The sequence below is a fragment of the Homo sapiens genome, chromosome 17, assembly GCF_000001405.40.
Source record: "Homo sapiens chromosome 17, GRCh38.p14 Primary Assembly".
Lineage (NCBI taxonomy): Eukaryota > Metazoa > Chordata > Mammalia > Primates > Hominidae > Homo > Homo sapiens.
This window is the reverse complement of record NC_000017.11, coordinates 80,227,079-80,250,720: the sequence shown is the minus strand read 5'-3', so window position 1 is coordinate 80,250,720 and position 23,642 is coordinate 80,227,079. Positions and strand designations below refer to the sequence as shown.

The window sequence follows — 23,642 nt, the reverse complement described above, 5'->3', positions numbered from 1 at the left end:
TGAGCAGCTGGGATTACAGGCGTGCGCCACCATGCCCGTCTAATTTTTGTATTTTTAGTAGAGACGGAGTTTCACTATGTTGGCCAGGCTGGTCTCAAACCCTTGACCTCCCGCCTCGGCCTCTCAAAGTGCTGGGATTACAGGTGTGAGCCACCATGTCTGGGTCAGAGGAGTATTTTTTTAAGTGAATCATCTCCAAAGACCATGAAGACATGTGCTCTGCAAATATGACACAGGACGTAACACTTATGAGCGAAGTTCTGAAGGCACATGCCCAAATCTGAAGCCGGGCCCACCATCCTGTGTGACCGTGGGCAGATTACCTGGCTTCTCTGGGCCTCAGTGACCTCTTCTGGACATGGGGATGAAGATAACACTAGCCTCGTGGGCCAGGTTGGGAATGAAGGAAACTCTGACAAGGGTCGGCTGTGGTCCACACCTGGGGTATACGGGTCACTTGGCCTCCTGTTCCATGGCTAGTTCATGAATGTCTCCTCTGGGCGCCTGGGGACACGCCCTAGTCCCCCACGTTCTGCCATCTAGGACTTGGCAGAGAGCGCACATTTAACCACAGCAACAGAGACCCCTGCCTCTCTGCAAACACTGGCCACACCCCTGGGATGTTGACCCTGCAGTGCTCAGAAGGCTCCTAGGTGAGGCCTAAGACGCAGGGCCTGGGACCCAGCCCTTACACTTTACCTGTGGCTCTGAACAGGACGGCCTCCATAGAAACCCGTCTTCAGCCTCTGGAAGCCCTGACAATACGTTTTTCATGAAATTCTATGAGCACCTGTTTTTTTTCGTTTGTTTGTTTTTGAGATGGAGTCCCACTCTGTCGCCCAGGCTGGAGTACAGTAGTGGGATCTCGGCTTACTGCAACCTCCACCTCCCAGGTTCAAGCGATTCTCCCAGCCTCCCATGTAGCTGGAATTACAGGCGCTCGCCACCACACCTGACTAGTTTTTTTTTGTATTTTTAGTAGAGACGGGGTTTCACCATGTTGGCCAGGCTGGTCTTGAACTCCTGACCTCAGGTGATCTGCCCGCCTTGGCCTCCCAAAGTGCTGGGATTCCAGGAGTGTGCCACCACGCCTAGCCTCACCTGTCTCTTTTTGTTTCCTAAAATACAATTCCCCTGAGAGCAGGGACTGACCCTCGTTCACTGTGTGTCCCCAGCACAAAGGACAGTGTGGCAGTGACCAGAAGCCATAACGTGACCCCTCGGAGGGCTGGGGGCCACCGCTCCCCCTTCCACAGGGAGGGACGAGGAAGGCCAGATGGGAACAAGAACTGTTTAAATCAGAAGCAGAGCCAGCACCGGCCGAAGGGCCGTCCAGCATCACAGCCCAGAGATGTCACATTCGCCATGGGAGGCAGGCACAGGAAGGCCTTCCGGCAGCTGCTAACCCCTAAGGCAGCCCAGTGCACACCCACCTGCAGGCCCACAAAGGCCAGGGCGACGCCCTGCTTCTGGAAGTCCTGGAGGAGCTCGCCGAGTCCCAGCACCACAGTGTAGTCGATGCTGCAGACATGGGTGCACTCCAGGACCAGGCAGCGTGGCGGGGACACTGGGGAGACAGGCCCGAGCCAGGTCACGCCACCCAGAGCAGCCCAAAGCTGCTCTGCAGAGGCCAAAGGAGGCTCTGGCCAGGGGCAGGGGACAGAGAGGCCAGAGTGCTCCATCTCGTGGCGGCTGAGTCGCCCAGTTGGGGGATTCGGGTGGCAGGACCAGAGACAATTGTTTGGTGACAGCAGCAGCTGTTTCCCTCCTAGGACTCACAGGCCCTTAGCTCCCCTAAAATCAACCCCCCAGAAACAGGAACCGGACTTTAGGGGCAGGGAAGGAGTGATATGTGGGGGGCCACCACCCTTGCTGCAGCAGCCACTGGCTGAGGCCCACAGAGGACGGTCCAGCCCACTCAGAGATGCCTGCATCCTTGTGGACTGGAGAGCGTTGGGGACAGGGTCTTGGGGTCCTGAACAGCAGGGAGTGGGGGGCAGAGGACAGGGGAGTGACCTCAGACCACCTTGACCCCCGCCCATGCACCTTCCAGGGCCCGGCTTAGGATCTCCTCCCGCAGAGCCTCCATGGCAGGGAAGGACAGGCCGCTGGCCGGCTGCAGGACCAGAACCGGCCCCTCTGACACCTGTGGGGAGGAGTGAGTCCTGGAGGCGGGTCTGACCGGGTGGCCTCCACCAGGCTTGGCCTGTCCCAAGCGGGAAGCCCCCACCCAACCTAGTGTGCTGCAGGGGACCGGGAGAGGGGTGCTAAGGGGAGACCCCCATGGCCCCCACACAGTGGGAGAACACCATGGTTTATAGCAAGGTGACTGCCCACCTGCCAGCGAGCGGTCCCCTTCAGCAGCACCCACGACCACAATCACCCCGGACCCTCAAAACATAAGACCATGCCCAGGAATCCTGCCCCCAGCACACTCCCCACTCAGAGGCCACGGAGGGGTACCTTGGTCTCAGGCCTGGCTGCAGAGTGCAGGAGCATGAGCAGAGACACCAGGGCCCCGGCCAGGATGCCGTACTGCACCTCCCAGAAGCACAGCAGGAAGGTCACGCACAGGGGCAGCAGGTCCAGCCCTAGGAGAAGGGCACAGCTGAGGAATGCCCGGCAGCTGCCCGAGGCCCCAACATGGCCCTGCTGACCAGCGGGACAGCTTTCTGCCCCCCACATATGAGTAAAGGTGCTCATGGACCCCAAGCAGCCCCTGAGGACTTGGGGACAGCAGCTGCTGACCAGGCCATGCTTCAAGTCGAAAGAAAGAAATGCCCTCCCCATCTGAGCTGAGCGCAGGTGAGACCTGCCGGCCGGTCCCTGGCCTCCAACCTCAGGGAGGGCAGCAGCAGGGGCTTGTCAGGGCACAGAGCTGGCCTGAGGAGTGGGGCAGGGACCACGTGAGCCCTTGAGACCTGGCCAAGGAGAAGGTGCCCTGGGGACAAAGTGCACGGGCTTAGCCCTGTGGGGGATTCCACCGCACGCATAGGTCAGGCCTGCCCCACCCTGGCTGAGCCTTGGTTTCTAGCAGCAGCGGCCATCCCATTCCACGCCGGCACATGAACACGTTTCAGGGCTGTTCTAAAGCCCCAGCGCACTGGCACGCGAAAGGCCCTGGCATGCGACGGGCATGCAAGAAAATTATCCATCCTTTCACCTGGCAACTTGCTGGGGCTAACCAGAAAATGCCAAGTAAGCTAGGTGAACCCACTCCATGCTTCTTCCACAAACAAAACAAAATGTGTTAAGTTAAAGGAACTGCTCCCGTCCGGGAGGTGAGGGGCGCCTCTGCCCGGCCGCCCCTACTGGGAAGTGAGGAGCCCCTCTGCCCGGCCACCACCCCGTCTGGGAGGTGTACCCAACAGCTCATTGAGAACGCGCCATGATGACAATGGCGGTTTTGTGGAATAGAAAGGGGGGAAAGGTGGGGAAAAGATTGAGAAATCGGATGGTTGCCGTGTCTGTGTAGAAAGAAGTAGACATGGGAGACTTTTCATTTTGTTCTGCACTAAGAAAAATTCCTCTGCCTTGGGATCCTGTTATCTGTGACCTTACCCCCAACCCCATATTGTCCTATGACCCTGCCAAATCCCCCTCTGCAAGAAACACCCAAGAATGATCAATAAAAAAAAATAAAAATAATAATAAAAAAAAAAAAAGGAACTGCCATTCTGAGCCAGGGTGCAAGGCTGTTCCGCTGGCCCTGCTGGTCACCAGGGACGTCTCCTGTCCCTCCCCCAGCTGGGCCGGGCAGAGTGGTGGCTGGAGGCGGGTGGCAAGGAGGGTAGGGATGGGGGCAGGGGGATCAGGAGGGGACCCTCCCCCGGGTCAGTGCTCGCCTCAAGACCCCAGGTGTCAGGACAAGGAGCTCCAGCTCTTCCCACTGAGCCTCGGGACCATCTCTGGGGCCATCTCCTGGCCATCCACTTCTCTGTTCCGGGACTGCCCTAACTTCCCAGTCCCAGCCCCACAGAGGGGGCTGCAGGAAAATGGGGTAGCATAAATGACACCCTCCGCGTTCAGACACCGCATCACAGCGCTCTCCCCTGTAGGACAAGGACGTACTCTTAACACGCCAGAGCGTCCTGAAGATCTTGGTGTCGAACAGCGGGGCCACGGCCATGATGATGACGGCAGCCAGGGCAGACTTGGGGATGTAGTAGAACAGTGAGGTCAGGTAGTCCAGAGACAGCAGCACCAGCACTCCTGCGGGGCACGGGAACACAGGTGACCTCGGGAGTGCAGGGTCCCCCCAGCACGCAGCGTAGCAGCCTCTTGTTCAGCAGAGCCCACTGGGGACAGGGGTGGGGGTAGGGCGACGACTGCCAAGGCCCCCAGCCCCTGCTCAGTCTCCTGTGGTCCCCCTACTCCTGTGTGGCCCCCCAAGTCCCTGTGCAGTCCCGGGGCGCACGGCCCATGAGCCAAAGGGACGTCTCTGTGGGCCCCCTCCTCCCTTTCTCCCACTCTCAGGGCTGCGGGCACAAGGGGAAGATGGGGGGCCTTACCCGTCACCAGGCCCCCCGCCGGGGTGCACACCCCCGACTGAGCGTTCACGGCTGTCCTGGAAGGCAACACAGAGACCGTCAGTCACCAGGGGCCGGGAAAAGGGAGACCTCAGTCCACACTCCTGTGGCTGATCTTCCGAGGGGACGTCAGCTCCCAGCACGGCTTGGGAAGCAGGCGGGGACTGCAAGGGGACCGAGGCAAAGAGACTTAGGGTGCAGTCACAGACAGCCGCGCTTGGGCCACCCTGACTATAGGAAGAAGCTCAGGAAGCACGTGTCCTTTCAGGTTCCTGCCGACTCTGTCTCCTGCCCCCATCCAGGTGGGGCCCCCATACCCAGCAGGGCAAGGGTCACCAGCTGGGGGACTGGGCAGTGCCAGGTGACGCCTCCTTCTCTCCTTTAAGCCACAGGTCACCTCCATCCTGTTGTCCTGACTGAGGAGGGGCCGTAGGGCATCTGGGCTAAGCTTCATGCCCGGCTGCTTCAGGACAGAGCCGAGGCCCTTCCTATCTCCACGTCCTTTCAGGAATTGACTCTGGCACCAGGAGCTAGGAGGGCTTTGGCGTGCTGGGAACTTTCTAGTATTTATTTTAGAGACAGGGTCTCGCTCTGTTGCCCAGGCTGGAGTGCAGCGGTGCGGTCACAACTCACTGCAGCCTCATCCTGCTGGGCTCAAGCGATTCTCCTGCTTCCGCCTCCAGAGTAAATGGGATAACAAGGGTGTACCACAATGCCCAGTGGAACTTTCTAGTATGAAACTGCAGGACGATCTATGAGAATAAAGAAACAGAGAACACCCTGGAGGACAGTGGGTGACCCCCAGCCCTGCCTCTCCACGGAGCGTTCACAGTGGAGGACGGGGCGCCGGGGTCAGGGCAGGCAGACTCCTTGTCAGCGTAACAACGTTAGGGCGTCCAACGTGGGCAAACAGAAGAGGCGGACAGGTCACTCACCGTCCAAAGCTGCCTGTGACCGGGTAGGAGGAGACGAGGGAGCCCAACATGTTGGTGAGACCTGGGGAGGAGGCAAGACAGGCTGATCGTGGAGGGAAGGCACACAGGATGGAGGGAAAGGAGATGGGGAGGGGGACAAAAACCCAGAAGGGAGGCAGGAAGGCAGGGCTCGGGAGAATCATCCTGGGGGCCTGGGCCTACGCACTCCTTCAGGGAAGGAAGAAAACAGGCCACATTCTTGCAGACGTAAAGCCTAGCCTTTTTTTTTTTTTTTTTTTTTTTGAGACAGAGTCTGGCTTTGTTGCCCAGGCTGGAATGCAGTGGCGCGATCTCAGCTCACTGCAGCCTCCGCCTCCCAGTTCAAGCGATTCTCCTGCCTCAGCCTCCTGAGTAGCTGGGATTACAGGCACACACTACCACGCCTGGCTAATTTCTGTATTTTTAGTACAGACAGAGTTTTGCCATGTTGGCCAGGCTGGTCTCAAACTCCTGACCTCAGTGATCCACCCGCTTCGACCTCCCAAAGTGCTGGGACTACAGGCATGTGCCACCACACCCAGTTAATTTTTCTATTTTTAGTAGAGACAGGGTTTTGCCATGCTGGCCAGGCTGGTCTCAAATGCCTGACCTCAGGTGACCCATCCGCCTCAGCCTCCCAAAGTGCTGGGATCACAGGAGTGAGCCACCATGCCTGGCAAGATCCTAGCTTTCAAACACTTCTCACCCAGCCTCTCCTGTGTGACCAGGACACGCCTTCCCCACGCAGAACAGAGGGGAGCATCTCACCACCCAGGAGGGGGTGAGAGCTGAGATAAAGTGCCCGTAAGACAAACCCTAGGTACTCGGGAGGTCAGTGGCTGCCCACCGTTCTCCACCCAGTTCCTTTCCGTCTCACGAGATGACAGCCACAGTGAGGCCAAGGTCATGGCCAGTATGCTGCCTCCCCAGGTGATGCCGGCTGCCTACAACAGACAAAGCCCACGCCCACAGCATTGCTGGGGCCCAAGAACGGGGATCACTGCTCAGGTTGACCCACGCTCCCACCAGCATCTGTCTCACCTGGGGCATCACTAAGACCAGAATCCCTCCTGCTCGCTAAGACCCACAGTGGGGTCTCAGGTCTCACAGGTGCAGGGCCTGCTCTCAAGGCGGCTCGGCCTGGGGCCAACTCAGTATCAGGGCATCCCGGGTGACATGGCCCAGCTCACGGCCCTGAGAGAGATGGGCTAGGGCAAGGAAATACAGGCGTGGGAGGGCTCGGTAGAGGCCCAAGGTGACCACAGGCTGCAGGGGATCATCCTCATTCTACAGCAGCTTGGGCTGGGGACCCAACTCTGTGAGCCGAAGCTGACCAGCGCAACCCCTCCCAGCCTGGCCTTCATGGGCTCACGTCAGCCAGCTTCTTGCTGTGCGGCTGCTGAGGCCTACCTGGCCTATCTGAGATCAAGGAATCCCATGGCTGCCATAGTAACCTTGACCTTCGCTCGGTCTGTGTTGTATCCCTGGAACTCAGGGTGCTGTCAGAATAGATCTGTGGTATTTTTAAAGTAATGGGAATAGGGCCAGGGGCTGTGGCTCAGGCCTGTAATCCTAGCACTTTGGGAGGCCAACGCGGGCGGATCACCAGAGGTCAGCAGCTTGAGACCCGCCTGGCCAACATGGCAAAACCTCGTCCTACTAAAAATACAAAAATCAGCCAGGCTCAGGGGCAGGTGCCTGCAATCCCAGCTACTCAGGAGGCTGAGGCAGGAGAATCGCTTGAACCCAGGAGACGGAGGTTGCAGAAAGCCGAGACCGTGCCACTGCACTCCAGCCTGGGCGACAGAGGAAGATTCCGTCTCAAATAATAATAATAATAATAAGTAAAGTAATGGGAATGGGATGCTCTGGGAAATCACATTTGGAAGATTTACTGGTGGGGTCTTTGAGGAGGCCGTGGATTTTCTCAGCCTGAAAGTGCGTGATTCCCAGGAAGCCCAAGCTCCGCCACTCAACTGGACAATGCCCCGCTCTCCATGGCTCAGAGAGAAGCCCGGGCAACGTCCCTTTGTGACCCAACCTGGGTCACTCACTTTGCTGTCAAGAAGCCAAATGGCTCTCGTGAAATTGTCAGGGTGGACACCCCTTGGGAAGAAGCCCATGGTGCTTCCTGGGTTATCCTGCACCAGTCTCATGAGGGGCGAGAAGGAAAGGCAGGAAGGCCTGGGACCCACCATTTAGTTATGATAACTGAATTTAAGATTCACACTGGGCCAGGCGCGGTGGCTCACGCCTGTAATCCCAGCACTTTGGGAGGCCAAGGCAGGCGGATCACGAGGTCAGGAGTTTGAGACCAGCCTGATCAATATGGTGAAACCCCGTCTCTACTAAAAATACAAAAAGTAGCCAGGCGTGGTGGCACACGCCTGTAGTCTCAGCTACTCGGGAGGCTGAGGCAGGAGAATCGGATGAACCCAGAAGGCAGAGGTTGCAGTGAGCCGAGATTGTACCACTGCACTCTAGCCTGGGTGACAAAGCAAGATTCAGTCTCTCACACACACAAAAAGATTCACACTGTGGTCTCGAAATATACCACTAAGAAGTCAGCCCGCAGAGACGTAACAAAAGGGAACTAAACCGTGAAAGCGGGCATGACCCCCATCCACAGGCAGGCAACTTGGGGCCCCCGAGTCTTCATGAATCCACCTGCCCCTGCCTGGAGGGAGGCACAGGGCAGGGTGCGGGCACAATCAGAAGACTCCTCTCGATTCCCCCGGCCACAGCCTTCCCCTCTTGACCCCCGGCACTAGGTGCTCCCTCCCCGAGGTGGGACATTCCAGGTGTTCCTGGATCTAGACCAAGGCCACAGACCTCAGGGTCAGGTACACAGCAGGTGCTCAATAAGTGGTAGAACAGACAACAGATGTCAGCTCCTTGTTCTTAGGGGTTAAACTGAGCAGTGTGGAGGTCTGGGAATGAGTCCTTGTTAATATTCTGGAAGAGCCAGGCGCAGTAGCTCATGCCTGTAACCTCAGCACTTTGGGAGGCCGAGGCAGGCAGATCACCTGAGGTCGGGAGTTCGAGACCAGCCTGGCCAACATGGTGAAACCCTGTCTCTACTAAAAACACAAAAATTAGCCATGCATGGTGGCATATGCCTTTAATCCCAGCTACTTGGGAGGCTGAGGCAGGAGAATCACTTGAACCCAGGAGGCAGAGGTTGTAGTGAGCCAAGATCGTGCCACTGCACTCCTGCCTGGGCAACAGAGTGAGACTCCATCTCAAAAACCCAAAACAAAACTAAATATTCCAGAAGATCCCATCTGGGGCCACCTTTGCCCTCCCAGTTCATCACCACCATCATGGTCTTCCTACAATGCAGGAGACACAGAGGGGCAGGCCTGGGACCCTGGAGGCCCACAGCTGGTGTCTTCCTTCCCGCGGCTGGGGTCTTACCGATGGCCAGCAGCTCCTGGTTGGCATCGATGCGGTAATTATTCTGAGATGCTAAAGGGAACCAACGGTAAAGACCTGGTCAGTAATATTCAACATCGCTCAAAAAGTATTCACAAAATGTAACACAGATTATGAATTTCTACACACGGCAATAAGTTTTGTAAATCTAAGAATACACATCTAAAATATTCACATATATGTGCGTGTAAACATGTGCTTGAATGTATCACAGAGTGGAAAGAGGTACAGTACCATGTAATCAGGCCAGGTATGGTGGCTCACAGCTATAATCGCAGCACTTTTAGAGGCCAAGGCAGGAGGATCGCTTGAGCCCAGGAGTTCGAGACCAGCCTGGGCAACATGGCAAAATCTCATCTCTACAAAAAATACAAAAATTAGCCAAGCATGGTGGTGTGTGCCTATAGTCCCAGATATTCAGGACGCTGAGGCGGGAGGATGGTTTGAGCCTAGGAGGTTGAGGCTGCAGTGAGATGAGATCGTGCCACCGCACTCCAGTCTGGGCGACAGAGTGAGACCCTGTCTCAAACAACAACAAGAAAACATGTAAGCAGTAGTTAATTGTGGTAGTAAAAGGGATTATGGGTGATTTGTCTCTTCTTTACTCGTTTCTGCACTCTTGACATTTTCTACAATGAATGTATATTAATAAACACAGCCATTATTACCAATTAAATTAAAACTTTCAATTAAACAGATAGTACAGGATCTTGTTCTGCCACCCAGGCTGGAGTGCAGTGGCACTATCACAGCTCAATGCCACCTTGACCTCCTGGGCTCAAGTGATCCTCCTGCCTTAGGCTCCTGAGCAGCTGGTACCACAGGTGTGGTCCATGCCCGGCTAATTTTATTTTCAATAGAAATGAGGTCTTGTTAAGTTGCCTAAGTGGGTTTCAAACTCCTAAGCTCAAGCAATCCTCCTGCCTAGGCCTCCCAACGTGTTGGGATTACAATGCTTTTTATAATAAGAAAACCATTTTATTTTATTATTTTCATTTTGTTAGATGGAGTCTTGCTCTGTCACCCAGGCTGGAGTGCAGTGGAGTGATCTTGGCTCACCGCAACCTCTGCCTCCCGGGTTCAAGAGATTCTCCTGCCTTAGCCTCCTGAGTAGCTGGGACTACAGGGGCATGCCACCACGCACAGCTAATTTTTGCATTTTTAGTAGAGACGGGGTTTCACCATGTTGGTCAGGCTTGTGTCGAACTCCTGACCTCAGGTGATCCGCCCACCTTGGCCTCCCAAAGTGCTGGGATTACAGACGTGAGCCACTGCACCCGGCCGAGAAAAACATTTTAAACTGGAAACCTCTTTATGACCAGTTGAGATGACTGGAAAGTCTAAGACGGGCCATCTCAGAGAGGTGAGCAGGCGAAGGTTTTAGGGGAAGGCACAGGAGCATGGATCTAAGACAGAGGTTGGCAAACTTTTTTTTTTGAGACGGAGTCTTGCTCTGTCGCCCAGGCTGGAGTACAGTGGCGCGATCTTGGCTCACTGCAAGCTCCGCCTCCCGGGTTCACGCCATTCTCCTGCCTCAGCCTCCCGAGGAGCTGGGACTACAGGCGCCCGCCACCACGCCTGGCTAATTTTTTGTATTTTTAGTAGAGACGGGGTTTCACTGTGTTAGCCAGGATGGTCTCCATCTCCTGACCTTGTGATCCACCCGCCTCGGCCTCCCAAAGTGCTGGGACTACAGGCGTGTGCCACCGCACCCAGCTGAGGTTGGCAAGCTTTTCTATAAAGGGCCAGCTTTTCTGTAAGGGACCAACTTGTCGATATTTTAGGCTTTGTGGGCCCTGCAGTCACTGCTGCAGCTACGCAACTCTGCTGTGGTGCCACGAAAGCAGCCACGGACAGCACATCCCCAAGTGGCACAGCCACGCTCCAACTGACTTTATTTGTAAACATGAGATCTGGATTTCATATACTTTTCACATGTCACAAAATATTATTATTATTTGGACTTTTTCCAACCATTCAGAAATGTAAAAACTGGCCGGGCACGATGGCTCAGGCCTGTAATCCTAGCACTTTTGAAAGCCGAGGCAGGAGGATCACTTGAACTCAGGAGTTTGAGGTCAGCCTGGGCCACAAAGTGAGACCTTGTCTCTACAATTAAAAAATTACGGCCGGGCACAGTGGCTCACGCCTGTAATCCCAGCACTTTGAGAGGCTAAGGCAGGCAGATCACGAGGTCAGGAGATCGAGACCACGGTGAAACCCCGTCTCTACTAAAAATACAAAAAATTAGCTGGGCGTGGTGGCGGACGCCTGTAGTCCCAGCTACTCGGGAGGCTGAGGCAGGAGAATGGCGTGAACCCAGGAGGCGGAGCTTGCAGTGAGCCGAGATCACGCCACTGCACTCCAGCCTGGGCGACAGAGCGAGACTCCGTCTCGAAAAAAAAAAAAAAAGAAATTACTGGAGGGCTGAGCATGGTGGCTCACACCTGTAATCCCAGCACTTTGGGAGGCTGAGGTGGGCGGATTACCTGAGGTCAGGAGTTTGAGACCAGTATGATCAACATGGAGAAACCCCATCTCTACTAAAAATACAAAATTAGCCAGGCATGTTGGTGCGCACCCGTAATCCCAGCTACTTGGGAGGCTGAGGCAGGATAATTGCTGGAACCTGGGGGGCGGAGGTTGCGGTGAGCCAAGATCACACCATTGCACCCAGCATGGGCAACAAGAGTGAAACACTATCTCAAAAAAAAAAAAAAAAAAAATTACTGGGAGGCCCAGGTGGGCAGATCACTTGAGACCAGCCTGGCCAACATAGTGAGACCCTGTCTCTACTAAAAGTATAGAATATTAGTTGGGCGTGGTGGCGCATGCCTGTATTCCCAGCTACCTGGGAGACTGAGGCATGAGAATTGCTTAAACCTGGGAAGCGGAGGTTGCAGTGAGCAGAGATCGTGCCACTGCACTCCAGCCTGGGCCACAGAGTGAGACTCTGTCTCCAAAAAAAAAAAAAAACAAAAAACAAAAAAAACTCCTTTGAAGGGGGTAAGGGTTAGAGCACTGGGACTTTGGAGAAGGAACTTTACCCTGGCACAGCCTGGGCTAGGCAGTAAACACGATTTACACAGTCACAGTAACATACACTGGTAACTGGGCTGTAACCTTTAGAATCAACATAAACCCAAACGCAAGAAGGACTAAATGACGGTGACAAGACAGAACGAAGGTGTCATCCGCACAGACAATACAAAGCTGGCAGGAGTGGAGCGAGTGAAGGACGGAGCTGCAAGGAGGGAATCTAGAGATGCTGACTCAAAACAGACACTGAAGGAGACGAAGGGTTCCCTGCCTCCCTGGGGGCGAGGAGGGGCTGGCCGATGGGCTGAGCCAGCTGAATAAAGCATGTTGCTCAATGTTTAGGAGTTTTGTGAGCCTGTTACTAAACATAGCCATTATTACCAATTAAATTAAAACTTTCAATTAAACAGATAATACAGGATCTTGTTCTGCTGCCCAGGCTGGAGTGCAGTGGCACTATCACAGCTCAATGCCACCTCGACCTCCCGGGCTCAAGTGATCCTCCTGCCTCAGCCTTCTGAGAAGCTGGTACCACAGGTGTGCTCCATGCCCAGCTAATTTTTATTTTTAATAGAAACGAGGTCTCGTTACGTTGCCTAGGTGGGTTTCAAACTCCTGAGCTCAAGTGATCCTCCCGTCTCAGCCTCCCAAAGTGTTGGGATTACAGGCCTGGGCCACCATGCCTGGCCCAAAGATAATACTTAAAACTCATCACTTCCTAATTTATTTGGCATTTGGCTACTACTGATGAGGTTATTTGCACCCACTGTATCTACATGGTGGAGACACCATAGAATATGATTGTTCATGCAGATCTCAACCCAGCTCCATGTGCAAACTCCCCTTTCAGTGACGTTACCTTAAAATCAGACAGCAGCGTTTACACCGTGGACATCGGCAAGGGCCACGAAGCAAAACCTTTTATTTCCACAAACAGCAGAGGCTGTTACAACACTCACCAGCACACCATGGGGTGGGAGGGCATGCCTCATTATAGATCCAGTTTTATCATATATACACAATACATATGTATCTATCATGAGCATGTATTACTTGGATATGAATTCAAATTTCTAAAACTAGTAACGGATAAAGGCAAGCTAGAAAGCAGGCAGGCCTAGCCCAGCCGGCGCACTGGGAGACCTGGGGTGTGGGTGACAGGCGTCTTACCGAAGGCTTTGGCCACCGCAATGCTCTCCAGGAGGCCCATCAGGGGCACCACGGCCAGCCCGGCTCCCATGTCCTGAGAGAGGAGAGAGGGATGGTGAGTGACCTTCCTAAGGGGTAGGACCCAGCAGTGACCCATGAAAGCAGCAAGGACCCACCCCGCCCCACAGGTAACAGGAGCAAGTGCTTGTCAGCTGCAGGATCCGCCTCCTTGTCTGAAGAGGCGCCAGGTGCTGGGAGGAACACGGTAAATTCATCCTCAGCTGGAGTCCAAAACAGGAGAAGCGCCCCTGAACACAAACGTGACATCCCTGAGCTCGCTGAGTTTGCATCCAACCTGGGATTCTTTAATAACTGAGATGTCCGTTCCTGAGGACTCAGCTGTCCTAACTGACCTCAGACCCCCTGGCACCCAGCAGATACATCAGGGTAGGAGCCAGGCCAGGGGCCACCGCAGCCTCAGCCACGCCATCCTGCCTCCCGGCTCCGCCCACCTGCACCATCTCGGTGAAGGAGATCGTCCCGTTGGCTGTGGTCACTGAGAAGGGCGGGATCCGGACTGGAGGGAGCCCCTCAGCTGTCTCCCCTGTTAGGATGAAAGGCTGGTATCCAGTCACCTCGAAGGAGTACGCAACCAGGGCTGCGAAGGAGACCACCAGGGCGTTGCGAGCTAGGAGAGAAGGAGAGGTGCGTCCGAGACCCTGCTCCCGGCGAGTGTGGGGTAGCGCGGCTGCCTCCAGGTTACTGGGGCAGACATCCCAGAGGCAGGAGACGCCCCCACCGGGCCACAGTCCTCACTCTGCACTCTGGGAAACACAACACAGACATAAATGCTATGTGGCAGCATAAGCAGGTGGGACGGCAGAGCTGCAGGCTGCGGACAGGTGCACATGCCACCTGCTGCCAAGCTCCAGGTGACTGGACATCGTGCACCGCGGCAAAGACTCTCTGAAATCAGGTGGCCCAGGGCACATCCACCTCAAAGCACAAAGGAGGAAGAAACCAGATTTACCCCCTTTCCCAAACAACAGAAACAATGGCCTCCAAGATGCGGGACAGTGGACATGATGGCCACTAAGACGCGGGACAGCAGCCATGACGGCCACAGGGAAACAAGGGAGGTGAGTCTATCACTGCCCCGCCGGCTGCCTACGGTTTCCCCGATGGTCCCCATGTGTATGGAGGGGACCCCCTAGCAGAGCCCAGGGGTTTCCCTGAGTTCAGGGGGCAATGCTGGGAGGAAGTCTGAGGAGGCCTGCAGCTGGAGCTGACCGCAAGGTCACAGGAGCAGAGAGGGCAGCCGGAGACAGAGCTGCAGAGATCTGCAGAGGTGCCCTCGGATGTGCAGCAGAGAACTGGTCGAGGCAAAGCTGGGCGAAAATGACCCAAACCCACAGTGGGGAAGAGTCACAAAGAGGGTTACAAGGGACAATCCCAAGGATTCACACCAGAGTAAAAAACCCTCATAATTCATGGAGCATCAGGGACTCCAGAGGGTTTTACCTCAGCAGTGGGGAAGATTAGCCCAAGGCCTGGGGTTGGCAAATGTTTTCTGTAAAGGGCTAAATACTAAAAACTTTTTGCTTTGTGGGCCATAAAGTCTCTGGCGCAACTACTCAAGTCTGTTATTATTGCATAAAACCTGACATTGACCATGTAAATGAATGGGAGTGATTTTCCAATAAAACTTTATTTACAAAATCAAGTGGTGGGCCAAATTAGGCTTGCCCTAGAATGAACACTGCTCTGGTCCAGCTCACAAAGCTTAAAAGTAAGACCTAAATGGATCGAACTGTCCTAAGTAACTTAACTGTATCCCAGAACAAAGCTCAAGAAGATTTATAGAATACAAAAATATCCAGCACGCAATAACCTCAAACTCACAAAGTCTAGCATCCATCCAAACAAAAATTACTAGGCATGCAAAGAAGCAGGAAAATATGGCTGGGTGCAGTGGCCCATGCCTGTAATCCCAACACTTTGGGAAGCCAAGACAGGAGGACTGCTTGAGCCCAGAAGTTTGAGGCCAGCCTGAGCAAATTAGTGAGACACTGTCTCCACAAAAAATAAAAAATTAGTTGAGCATGGTGGCATATGCCTATAGTCCCAGCTACTTGGGGGGCTGAGGTGAGATGATAACTTGAGCCTGGGAGGTTGAGGCTATAGTGAACCATGATCATGCCACTGTACTCTAGCCTGGGTGACACAGTGAGACCCTGTCTCAAAAAATAAAAATAAAAAATAAAAAAAAGACCCAAAAGTAACATAGTTAAAGATGACAGAATTAACAGGACATTAAAAGAGTAACTGTAACCAAATGTAATTTAGTTAATAGGACATTAAAAGAATAACTGTAACCAAATTCCATATACTTAAAAAAAAAACAGAGGAAAGATTGCAACTGTTAAGTAAAGATGTAGAAAATACATTTTAAAAGATTCAAATTGAGGCTGGGCACGGTAGCTCACGCCTGTAATCCCAGCACTTTGGGAGGCCGAGGCAGCTGAATCACCTGAAGTCAGGAATTCGAGACTGGCCCAGCCAACACAGTGAAGCTCTGTCTTTACTAAAAATACAAAAATTAGCTGGGCATGGTGGTGGATGCCTATAATCCCAGCTACCTGGGAGGCTGAGGCAGGAAAACCACTTGAAGCCGGGAGGCAGAGGTTACAGTGAGCCAAGACCGCGCCATTGCACTCCAGCCTGGACAACAGAGCGAAACTCCATCTTAAAAAAAAAAAAAAAGAAAAAAAAAGATTCAAACTGGATTTCTAGAAATGAAAACCACAGTGTCTGAGACGGAACAAGCACTTGGTGCAATTACAACAGCTGAGACATTACAGAAAAAAAAGACTAAAATGTAGCAGCAGAAACTATCCAAAATGAAACACACAAAGGAGAAGGCTGAAAATCCCAAGTGAGCTGTGGGAACACCTTCGAGGTGCCTGAAATACAGACAGGGGATTCTGCAAAGAAAGTCTGTGGAATCGCATAGGGGGACAGTACAAAGATTTCACGAAAAGATGGGTGTTTATTTTCCAAATTTGATGAAACTGCAAACCCACATGTCTAAGAAGTTCAATGAATCACAAGCATAAACACAGAAAACAAAAAACAAACAAACAAAAAAACACTACATCAAGCCACATTATGAAACTGCCTAAAACCAGTGATAAAGAATATTTTAAAAGCAGTGGATAAAAAGGTTACATACAGAGGAACAAAGAATGACAGCACACTTCTTGAAACGAAGTGGGCCAGAAGACAGCAGAATAGCATCTTTAAAGTCCTGAGGCCAGGCAAAGTGGCTCACGCCTGTAATCCTAGCACTTTGGGAGGCCAAGGAGGGCGGATCACCTGAGGTCAGGAGTTCGAAAGCAGCCTGGCCAACATGGCAAAACCCCATCTCTGCTAAAAGTACAAAAATTAGCCGGGCGTGGTAGCATGCGCCTGTAATTCCATCTACCTGGGAGGCTGAGACAGGAGAATCACTTGAACCCAGGAGGCAGAGATTGCAGTGAGCCAAGATCGTGCCACTGCACTCCAGCCTGGGTGACACAGCGAGACACTGTCTCAAAATAAAAAAAATAATAAATAACTTTTTTTTAAAAAGTACTGAAAGAAAAAAAAAAGTCTAGAATTCTATAACCAGCAAAACTATCTTTGAAAAATGAAGGCAAAATAGACTTTCAGACATACAAAAGTCGAAAGTTGAAAGAAGACCAGGAGTAGTGGCTCACACCTGTAATCCCAACATTTGGGAAGCCAAAGTGGGAGGATCCCTTGAGCCCAGGAGTAAGAGACCAGCCTGGGCAACGTAGGAAGACACCATCTCTACAAAAAGTAAAAATAAAAAATTATCCAGGCGTGGTGATGCATGCCTATAGTCCCAGCCACTCAGGAGGCTGAGGATTGCTTGGGTCTAGGAGTTCAAGGCTGCAGTGAACTATAATTGTACCACTGCATTCCAGCCTGAGTGACAGAGTGAATCCTGTCAAATAAAAAAAAAAAAATGCTGAAAGAGTTAATCACCAACAGGCCTGCAACAGAAGAAAAAATAACATCCTTCAGGTAGAAGGAAAATTATACCAGATGGAAATCTGGATTTGTACAAAGGAATTAAGAGCACCAGAAACAGTGACTACGTGGATAAATCTAAGACTGTTCCTGCAGGGAATGGTGGCTCACATCTGCAATCTCAGCACTTTGGTTGGCTGAGGCAGGAGCATCACTTGAGGCCAAGAACCTTTGATCAGCCTGAGCAACATAGCCCGTTTCTATAAAAAAATTTAAAAAATTAGCCAGATGTGGTGGTGCATGCCTGTAGACCAAGCTACTCAGGAGGCTGAGGCAGGAGAATTACTTGAGCCCAGGAGTTTGCAGCTTCAGTGACGGATCTTGGCTCACTGCAATCTCTGCCTTCCAGGTTCAAGCAATCCTCCCACCTCAGCCTCCCCAGTAGCTGGGATTACAGGCATGCACCACCATGCCTGGCTAATTTTTTGTATTTTTGGTAGAGATGGGGTTTCGCCATGTTGCCCAGGCTGGTCTTAGACTCCTGAGCTCAGACAATCTGCCTCCCTCAGCCTCCCAAAGTGCTAGGATTATAGGTGTGAGCCACTGCGCCTGGCCTGTTATAAGGTTCTTATATCACATGAAGTTGAAGTTTAATGTATACTGTAGCAAGATAAAGATGTTTACCACAAACCTTAAAGCAGTCACTTAGAAACAAACAAACAAAAACTAAATATAGCCGTTACAGCTAATCAGCCAATAAAGGATGTAAAATGGAATCATAAAAAATAATCCAATAGAGGTAGAAGGAGGGGGAAAAGGGAACAAAGAACAAATGAGACAAACAGGAAACAAACAGCAACATGGTAGATCTAAAGTCAAACAGACCAATAATCACATTAAATATAAATGGCATAAGATTCCAATTAAAAGGCAGAGATTATGAGATTAAAAACAAATCCCATCTATATGCTGCCCATAAAACATACCATTAAACACAAGAACACAAATCAATTAAATACGTTAAAAGTAAAAAGATAGGAGGCTGGGTGTGGTGTCCCAGCACTTTGGGAGGCCAAGGCAGGTGGATCACTTGAGGCCAAGAATTTGAGACCAGGCTGGCCAACATGGTGAAACCTCATTGCTACTAAAAACACAAAAATTAGCTGGGCTTGGTGGTGCAAGCCTGTAATTCCAGCTACTTGGGAGGCTGAGGCACAACAATTGCTTGAACCTGGGAGGTGGAGGTTGCAGTGAGCCAAGATCACGCCATTGCACTCCAGCCTGGGCAACAGAGAGAGATTCTGTCTCAAAAAAAAAAAAGTAAAAAGATGGGAAAAGATATGCTAACACTAATGAAAGCTGGAGTAGCTCTCTTAGTATCAAAGTAGATTTCAGGGAAGAGAATATTGCCCAGAAAAAAAAGTATCATTCCAAGAGAAAATTATAATTCTATATGTTTTTATACTAAAAAACAGAGCTTCAAAATATATGAAACAATAACTGGTAAGTAAGAAAGGAAAATAGACAAAGTCATGGTTATAGCTGAAGTTATTTCAACATTCTTCTTTTAATAATCAACAGAACAAGTAGAAAGAAAATCAGCAAGAATATAGTAGCCTGAGATAACCAACCAGACCTAACTGACATTTACAGAACATTCCACCCAATAATGGCAGAAAACATGTTCTCAAGCACACACAGAATATTCACTAAGATAGACCATATTCAGGGCCATAATACAACTCTCAATAAAGGAAAACAGATTTAAATCACTAAGTACGTTTTCTTATCACAATGGAACTAAATTAGAAATCAATGGCAAAGTACTAATTGGGAAACCCCCAACTATTTGGAAACTAAATAACTCCCATGGTTCACAGAAGAAATCATATAATCCACTTCTAAATAATCCACAGGTCAAAGGAGAAGTCAAAATGGAAATCACAAAGTATTTAGAACCGAATAAAAATTAAAGAACAGCATATATATAAAAACTGTGGGATGCAGCTAAAGTAATGCTAGGAGTGAAATTTACAGCATTTAAACAACCATATTAGAAAAGAAGAAAGGTCTCAAATCAAAGATCCAGGCTTCCACCTTAAGAATCTGAAAAAAAAGGCCGGGCACAGTGGCTCACGCCTGTAATCCCAGCACTTTGGGAGGCTGAGGCGGGTGGATCACCTGAGTTCAGGAGTTCGAGACCAGCCTGGCCAACATGGTGAAACCCCGTCTCCACTAAAAATACAAAAAATTAGCCAGGCATGGTGGCATACGCCTGTAATCCCAGCTACTTGGGAGGCTGAGGCAGGAGAATCACTTGAACCCGGGAGGCGGAGGTTGCAGTGAGCTGAGATCACACCATTGCACTCCAACCTGGGGGACAAGAGCGAAACTCCGTCTCAAAAAAAAAAAATTTTTTTTGAAAAAAAAAAAAAAAAAGGATAAAGTTAACTGAAAATAAATAGAAGAAAGGAAATAATAAAGGCCCAAGCAGAAATCAATGAACTAGAAAACCAAAGCAAAAGGGAGATCAATGAAACCAAAGGTGGTTCTTTGAGAGGATCATAACATTGACACACTTCTAGACAGACCATTCAGAAAAAAAGACAGACGACTCGGGTGAAGTCCTTGTTCTGCCTCTTCCCAGTCGTGTGGCCTTGAGAAGTTCTGTTTTATTTTTCATCTTTCATAGGCTCACTTTCCTCACTGACAAAATGGAAAAAATAATAAACTCATTCTCAAAGCTGTTATAAGAATCAAAAGCTTTTTAAGTAGTTTCCTAAGACAATGCTACACACACTGGGGAGAAAGGAGTCAGCAGCCCTACACTGTAAATGTTTCTGAAGTTTCTGTACATTACGATGTCTAGACATCTTAAAAGACCTTTCTGGCTGCGGAGACACTGCCTTCAGGGTTAGGCAAGTACTAGAGAAAAAAGCAGCCCCAAGTGTGTCTCTGATATGCCAGCTAACCCCTCTGGAGCCATCCTTCCTCCACCAGCCTGGCCTGCACCCCAGGAGGCAAGATTTTTCTGCCTTAAGCCTGAAACCCACCAAAATTCCTCCAACTGCAAGTCCTAAGCTGGTCGCCTTTCTTCACCTTGCCTTTATCAAGAAAATCTCGATAAAGGCTGTGGCCTAAACCACAGCTTTGGCTTCTCCTCCTGGCCACCCTGGTGTCCTCTGACATGGCCCTACGTGGCATGCTGTGCCTCCTGTCTCTAGGACCTGTGAGTATAATAAACTGGTTTTCTTCCTGAGCCTTTCGCTGTCTCCCCTTGTGGCCACACCTGCCTGATCATCTCATAAAGTCATACAAAACAAGTCTCTGAAAAACATGGGGTCTCTAAGCATTTCCCAAACTTTGACTTTTTTTTTTTTTTTTTTTGAGAAGGAGTCTCGCTCTGTTGCCAGGCTGGAGTGCAGTGGTGCAGTCTTGGCTCACTATAACCTCCGCCTCCCGGGTTCAAGTGATTCTCCTGCCTCAGCCTCCCAAGTAGCTGGGATCACAGGCACACACCACCACACCCAGCTAATTTTTGTATTTTTAGTAGAGACGGGGTTTGGCCAAGCTGGTTTCAAACTCCTGACCTCAGGTGATCTGCCTCCCTCGGCCTCCCAAAGTGCTGGGATTACAGGCGTGAGCCACCATGCCCGGCTTCCAAACTTTGACTTCTAAGCTGACCCCATGAATCCCCTGGGCGTGCCCTGAAGAATACAGATCCTGATTCGGAGATCTGGGGTGGGGCCTGAGATCCTGCCTTTCCAGTAAGCTCCCAGGAGATGCCCAGTGCCCAGGCTGCTGGTCCCAGGCCACACTCTGAGTCTCAAGGTTTAAGATAACAAGGCATAGGCCAGGCGCAGTGGCTCACGCCTATAATCTCAGCACTTTGGGAGGCTGAGGCGGGCGGATCACTTGAGGTCAGGAGTTCGAGACCAGCCTGGCCAACATGGTGAAACCCCATCTCTACTCAAAATACAAAAATTAGCCAGGTGTGGTGGTGCACGCCTGTAATCCCAGCTACTCGCGAGGCTGAGGCGGGATAATTGCTTGAAACCAGGAGGCAGGTTGCAGTGAGCCAAGATCACGCCAGTGCACTCCAGCCTGGGCAACAGAGTGAGACACCGTCTCCAAAAAAAACCAAAAAACAAAAGATAACAAAGATAACAAAGCATTTTCACTATTTCACGGACAACTGAACTAAAGCTCAGGAACTTTGGAAGCTACTTTGCAAGTCTAAACCCAGGCCAGGCTGGGACTGGAAGCTGGACATCTCCACTCTAAACCCAGCATCCTCTGCACCCCACCAGACTCTCAGTGTTCACCACGGCCTCAAGTCTGCTGAACAGGATCCAGGGAGAGACCACAGAGAACAGACCAGCCTGGGCAGGCAGAAGTGACTCAAGAGCTAAATCCAGCCACCCTCTCTCTTCTGTGGCTGTTGGATTTTGCAGCCCCCAAACAGCAAGACCAAGCTCGGGTTATTCTGAGCTTAATCTGTCCCCTCGGCTCTGAGAAGGTTTGGAGTCACCTATGCTTCCTGACTTTCCTGGGTGTGCCTTCTTCTCTGGGCATCCCTGCCCGGTGCTCAGCCAGGGGACCCATGCCCATCCCGGATGCACTGAGAAGAGGCTTCCACCTCCCCCAGGGTGGTCCTTCACCTGCTGACAGCCCTGCTCCTCCACGACGCAGCCCTCACCACCCCTTTCTCAAAGGACCCCTGGTTGGTTGTGGCTCAGCCTGCAGCCTCCGCGCCTGAAGCTGAAGTTGTACCCCCATAAAGCTGCACAATTCAAACAGAGCCTGTTGGTCTCCCCGGAATTTGTTCTGTCTCCCCAGGACCTGCCAGTAGACTGTGTTTCTCCACCTCGGCACCGCCGACATTTTGGGCCGGATCACTGTTTGCTGTGGAAGGCTGTGCGCCGTCAGGGGCTTAGTGGCATTCCTGGCCCCTCCTCGCTAGTTGCCAGCAACTGCCTCGCCCGGTGGTATCCACCAAAAATGTTTCCCAACATTGCCACGTGTCACCAGGGGGCAAAACTGCTTCAGGTTGAGAACGGCCACAGCTGGCCATGCATCAGTTCTCAGCTCTGACCCTGCATCAGAACCCACCGAGTTTGGCTCAGAGTTTTAAATGTTCTAGAGTTTGGGTCGGGGCGGTGGCTCATGCCTGTAATCCCAGCACTTCGGGAGGCCGAGGCAGGCAGATCACTCGAGGTCAGGAGTTTGAGACCAGTATGGTCAACATGGTGAAACCCCGTCTCTACTATAAATACAAAAATCAGTCGAGCGTGGTGGCATGCGCCTGTAATCCCAGCTACTCAGGAGGCTGAGGCAGGAGAATCACATGAACCTGGGAGGCGGAGGTTGCAGTGAGCCAATATCACACCACTGTACTCCAGCCTGGGCGACAGAGCGAAACTCTGTCTCAAAAAATAATTAATTAATTAATTAAATAAAAAGTACATGTCCCAGAGTTTGGTGTGGTGTTTTAAATGTCCCAATGCTCAAGTGACACCCAGACCAATGACGTGAGAATCCCTAGGGTGGGACTAGGACTCCCCAAGTGACCCCAACCTGCAGCCAAGGTTGCATAAGATGTCAGCCAGAGGCCCCTCACCTGTCGTGGCAGCCCAGACCAGCCCACGGCTGAGCCGCACACCAGGGGGCATCTCGGGGTGGACGGGAGGCACGTGGTCCCGCATCAGCTTCAGCACCAGCAGCAGCAGCATGCAGACCAGCCCCAGGACGGCGTCACCTACCCTGTGGACAGGCAGAGGACTGGTCACCACCCAGCTCGGCCCAGGCCTACTGCTGACTCAAGCATCCTGCTGCTGCTTAAGCTGAGAGGCACTAAGAAGCTCCCAGGGAGGCCCAATGCCCAGGCTGCTGGTCCCAGACCACAGTGAGTATCACAAGGAAATAAAGCATTTTCAATATTTTCACCATTTCACAGACACTTAACTAAAGCTCAGGAACTTTAGCAAGCTACTCTGCAAGACCAAACACAGACTAGGCTGAGATGTTTTCTCCTAAGCAATATGCATCCCTGTTCTACTTCAAAACTCAATTCAAAATTCAGTAAGTACACAGGCTTGGGCAGGACAGGCAGTGGAGAGGCCCGGGTCATGATGATGGCAGAGCGACGTGCTCACATTTTCACTCCCGTAGCTCTCTGGGACTCAAGTCTATGGAACAGGATCTGGTGAGTGACCACAGGGAATGGGGACCAGCCTGAGCAGCTGATGCTCTCTGCAGGTGGCTCTAGAACAAGTCTGCCAAACCCACAGCCTGTGGGCCATGTGCAGCCTGGGATGGCTTTGAATGTGGCCCAACACAAATTTGTAAACTTTCTTAAAACATTATGAGTTCTTTCAATGATTTTTTTGTAGCTCATCAGCTATCATTAGTGTATTTTAAGACAATTCTTCCTGTGTGGCCCAGGGAAGACAAAAGACTGGACACCCTGCTCTAGACATTCTAGAAGGCTTAGGACTAAACG

The 23,642-nt window shown here is 51.6% G+C and overlaps 1 protein-coding gene across 10 annotated transcripts in view, besides 2 other annotated features; it reads right to left on the bottom strand.

Moving 5' to 3' along the window:
- Positions 1–23,642, bottom strand: part of SLC26A11 (solute carrier family 26 member 11) — a 33,074-nt gene that overhangs the window by 2,780 nt on the left and 6,652 nt on the right. For 8 of the 10 annotated variants that reach the window (XM_047435806.1, XM_006721833.3, NM_001166347.2 and 5 more), the window contains 10 exons: positions 22,761–22,903; positions 13,618–13,793; positions 13,127–13,199; positions 8,900–8,950; positions 5,465–5,525; positions 4,512–4,567; positions 4,072–4,212; positions 2,464–2,591; positions 2,047–2,146; positions 1,434–1,567 (listed from right to left, as the gene is read on the bottom strand). In XM_047435806.1, coding sequence (XP_047291762.1) covers positions 1,434–1,567; positions 2,047–2,146; positions 2,464–2,591; positions 4,072–4,212; positions 4,512–4,567; positions 5,465–5,525; positions 8,900–8,950; positions 13,127–13,199; positions 13,618–13,793; positions 22,761–22,903 — 1,063 coding nt within the window. The remainder of the gene's footprint in view (positions 1–1,433; positions 1,568–2,046; positions 2,147–2,463; positions 2,592–4,071; positions 4,213–4,511; positions 4,568–5,464; positions 5,526–8,899; positions 8,951–13,126; positions 13,200–13,617; positions 13,794–22,760; positions 22,904–23,642) is intronic. The other 2 variants (XM_047435808.1, XM_047435807.1) reach the window with 1 other exon arrangement.
- Positions 13,094–13,881: an enhancer, noted in NCBI's record as "H3K4me1 hESC enhancer chr17:78210639-78211426 (GRCh37/hg19 assembly coordinates)". NCBI's record gives its function as "activates a minimal SCP1, AML or CMV promoter by ChIP-STARR-seq in naive H9 embryonic stem cells {active_cell/tissue: H9 hESC(naive)}" and the evidence as "EXISTENCE:reporter gene assay evidence [ECO:0000049][PMID:30033119]".
- Positions 13,882–14,671: an enhancer, noted in NCBI's record as "H3K4me1 hESC enhancer chr17:78209849-78210638 (GRCh37/hg19 assembly coordinates)". NCBI's record gives its function as "activates a minimal SCP1, AML or CMV promoter by ChIP-STARR-seq in naive H9 embryonic stem cells {active_cell/tissue: H9 hESC(naive)}" and the evidence as "EXISTENCE:reporter gene assay evidence [ECO:0000049][PMID:30033119]".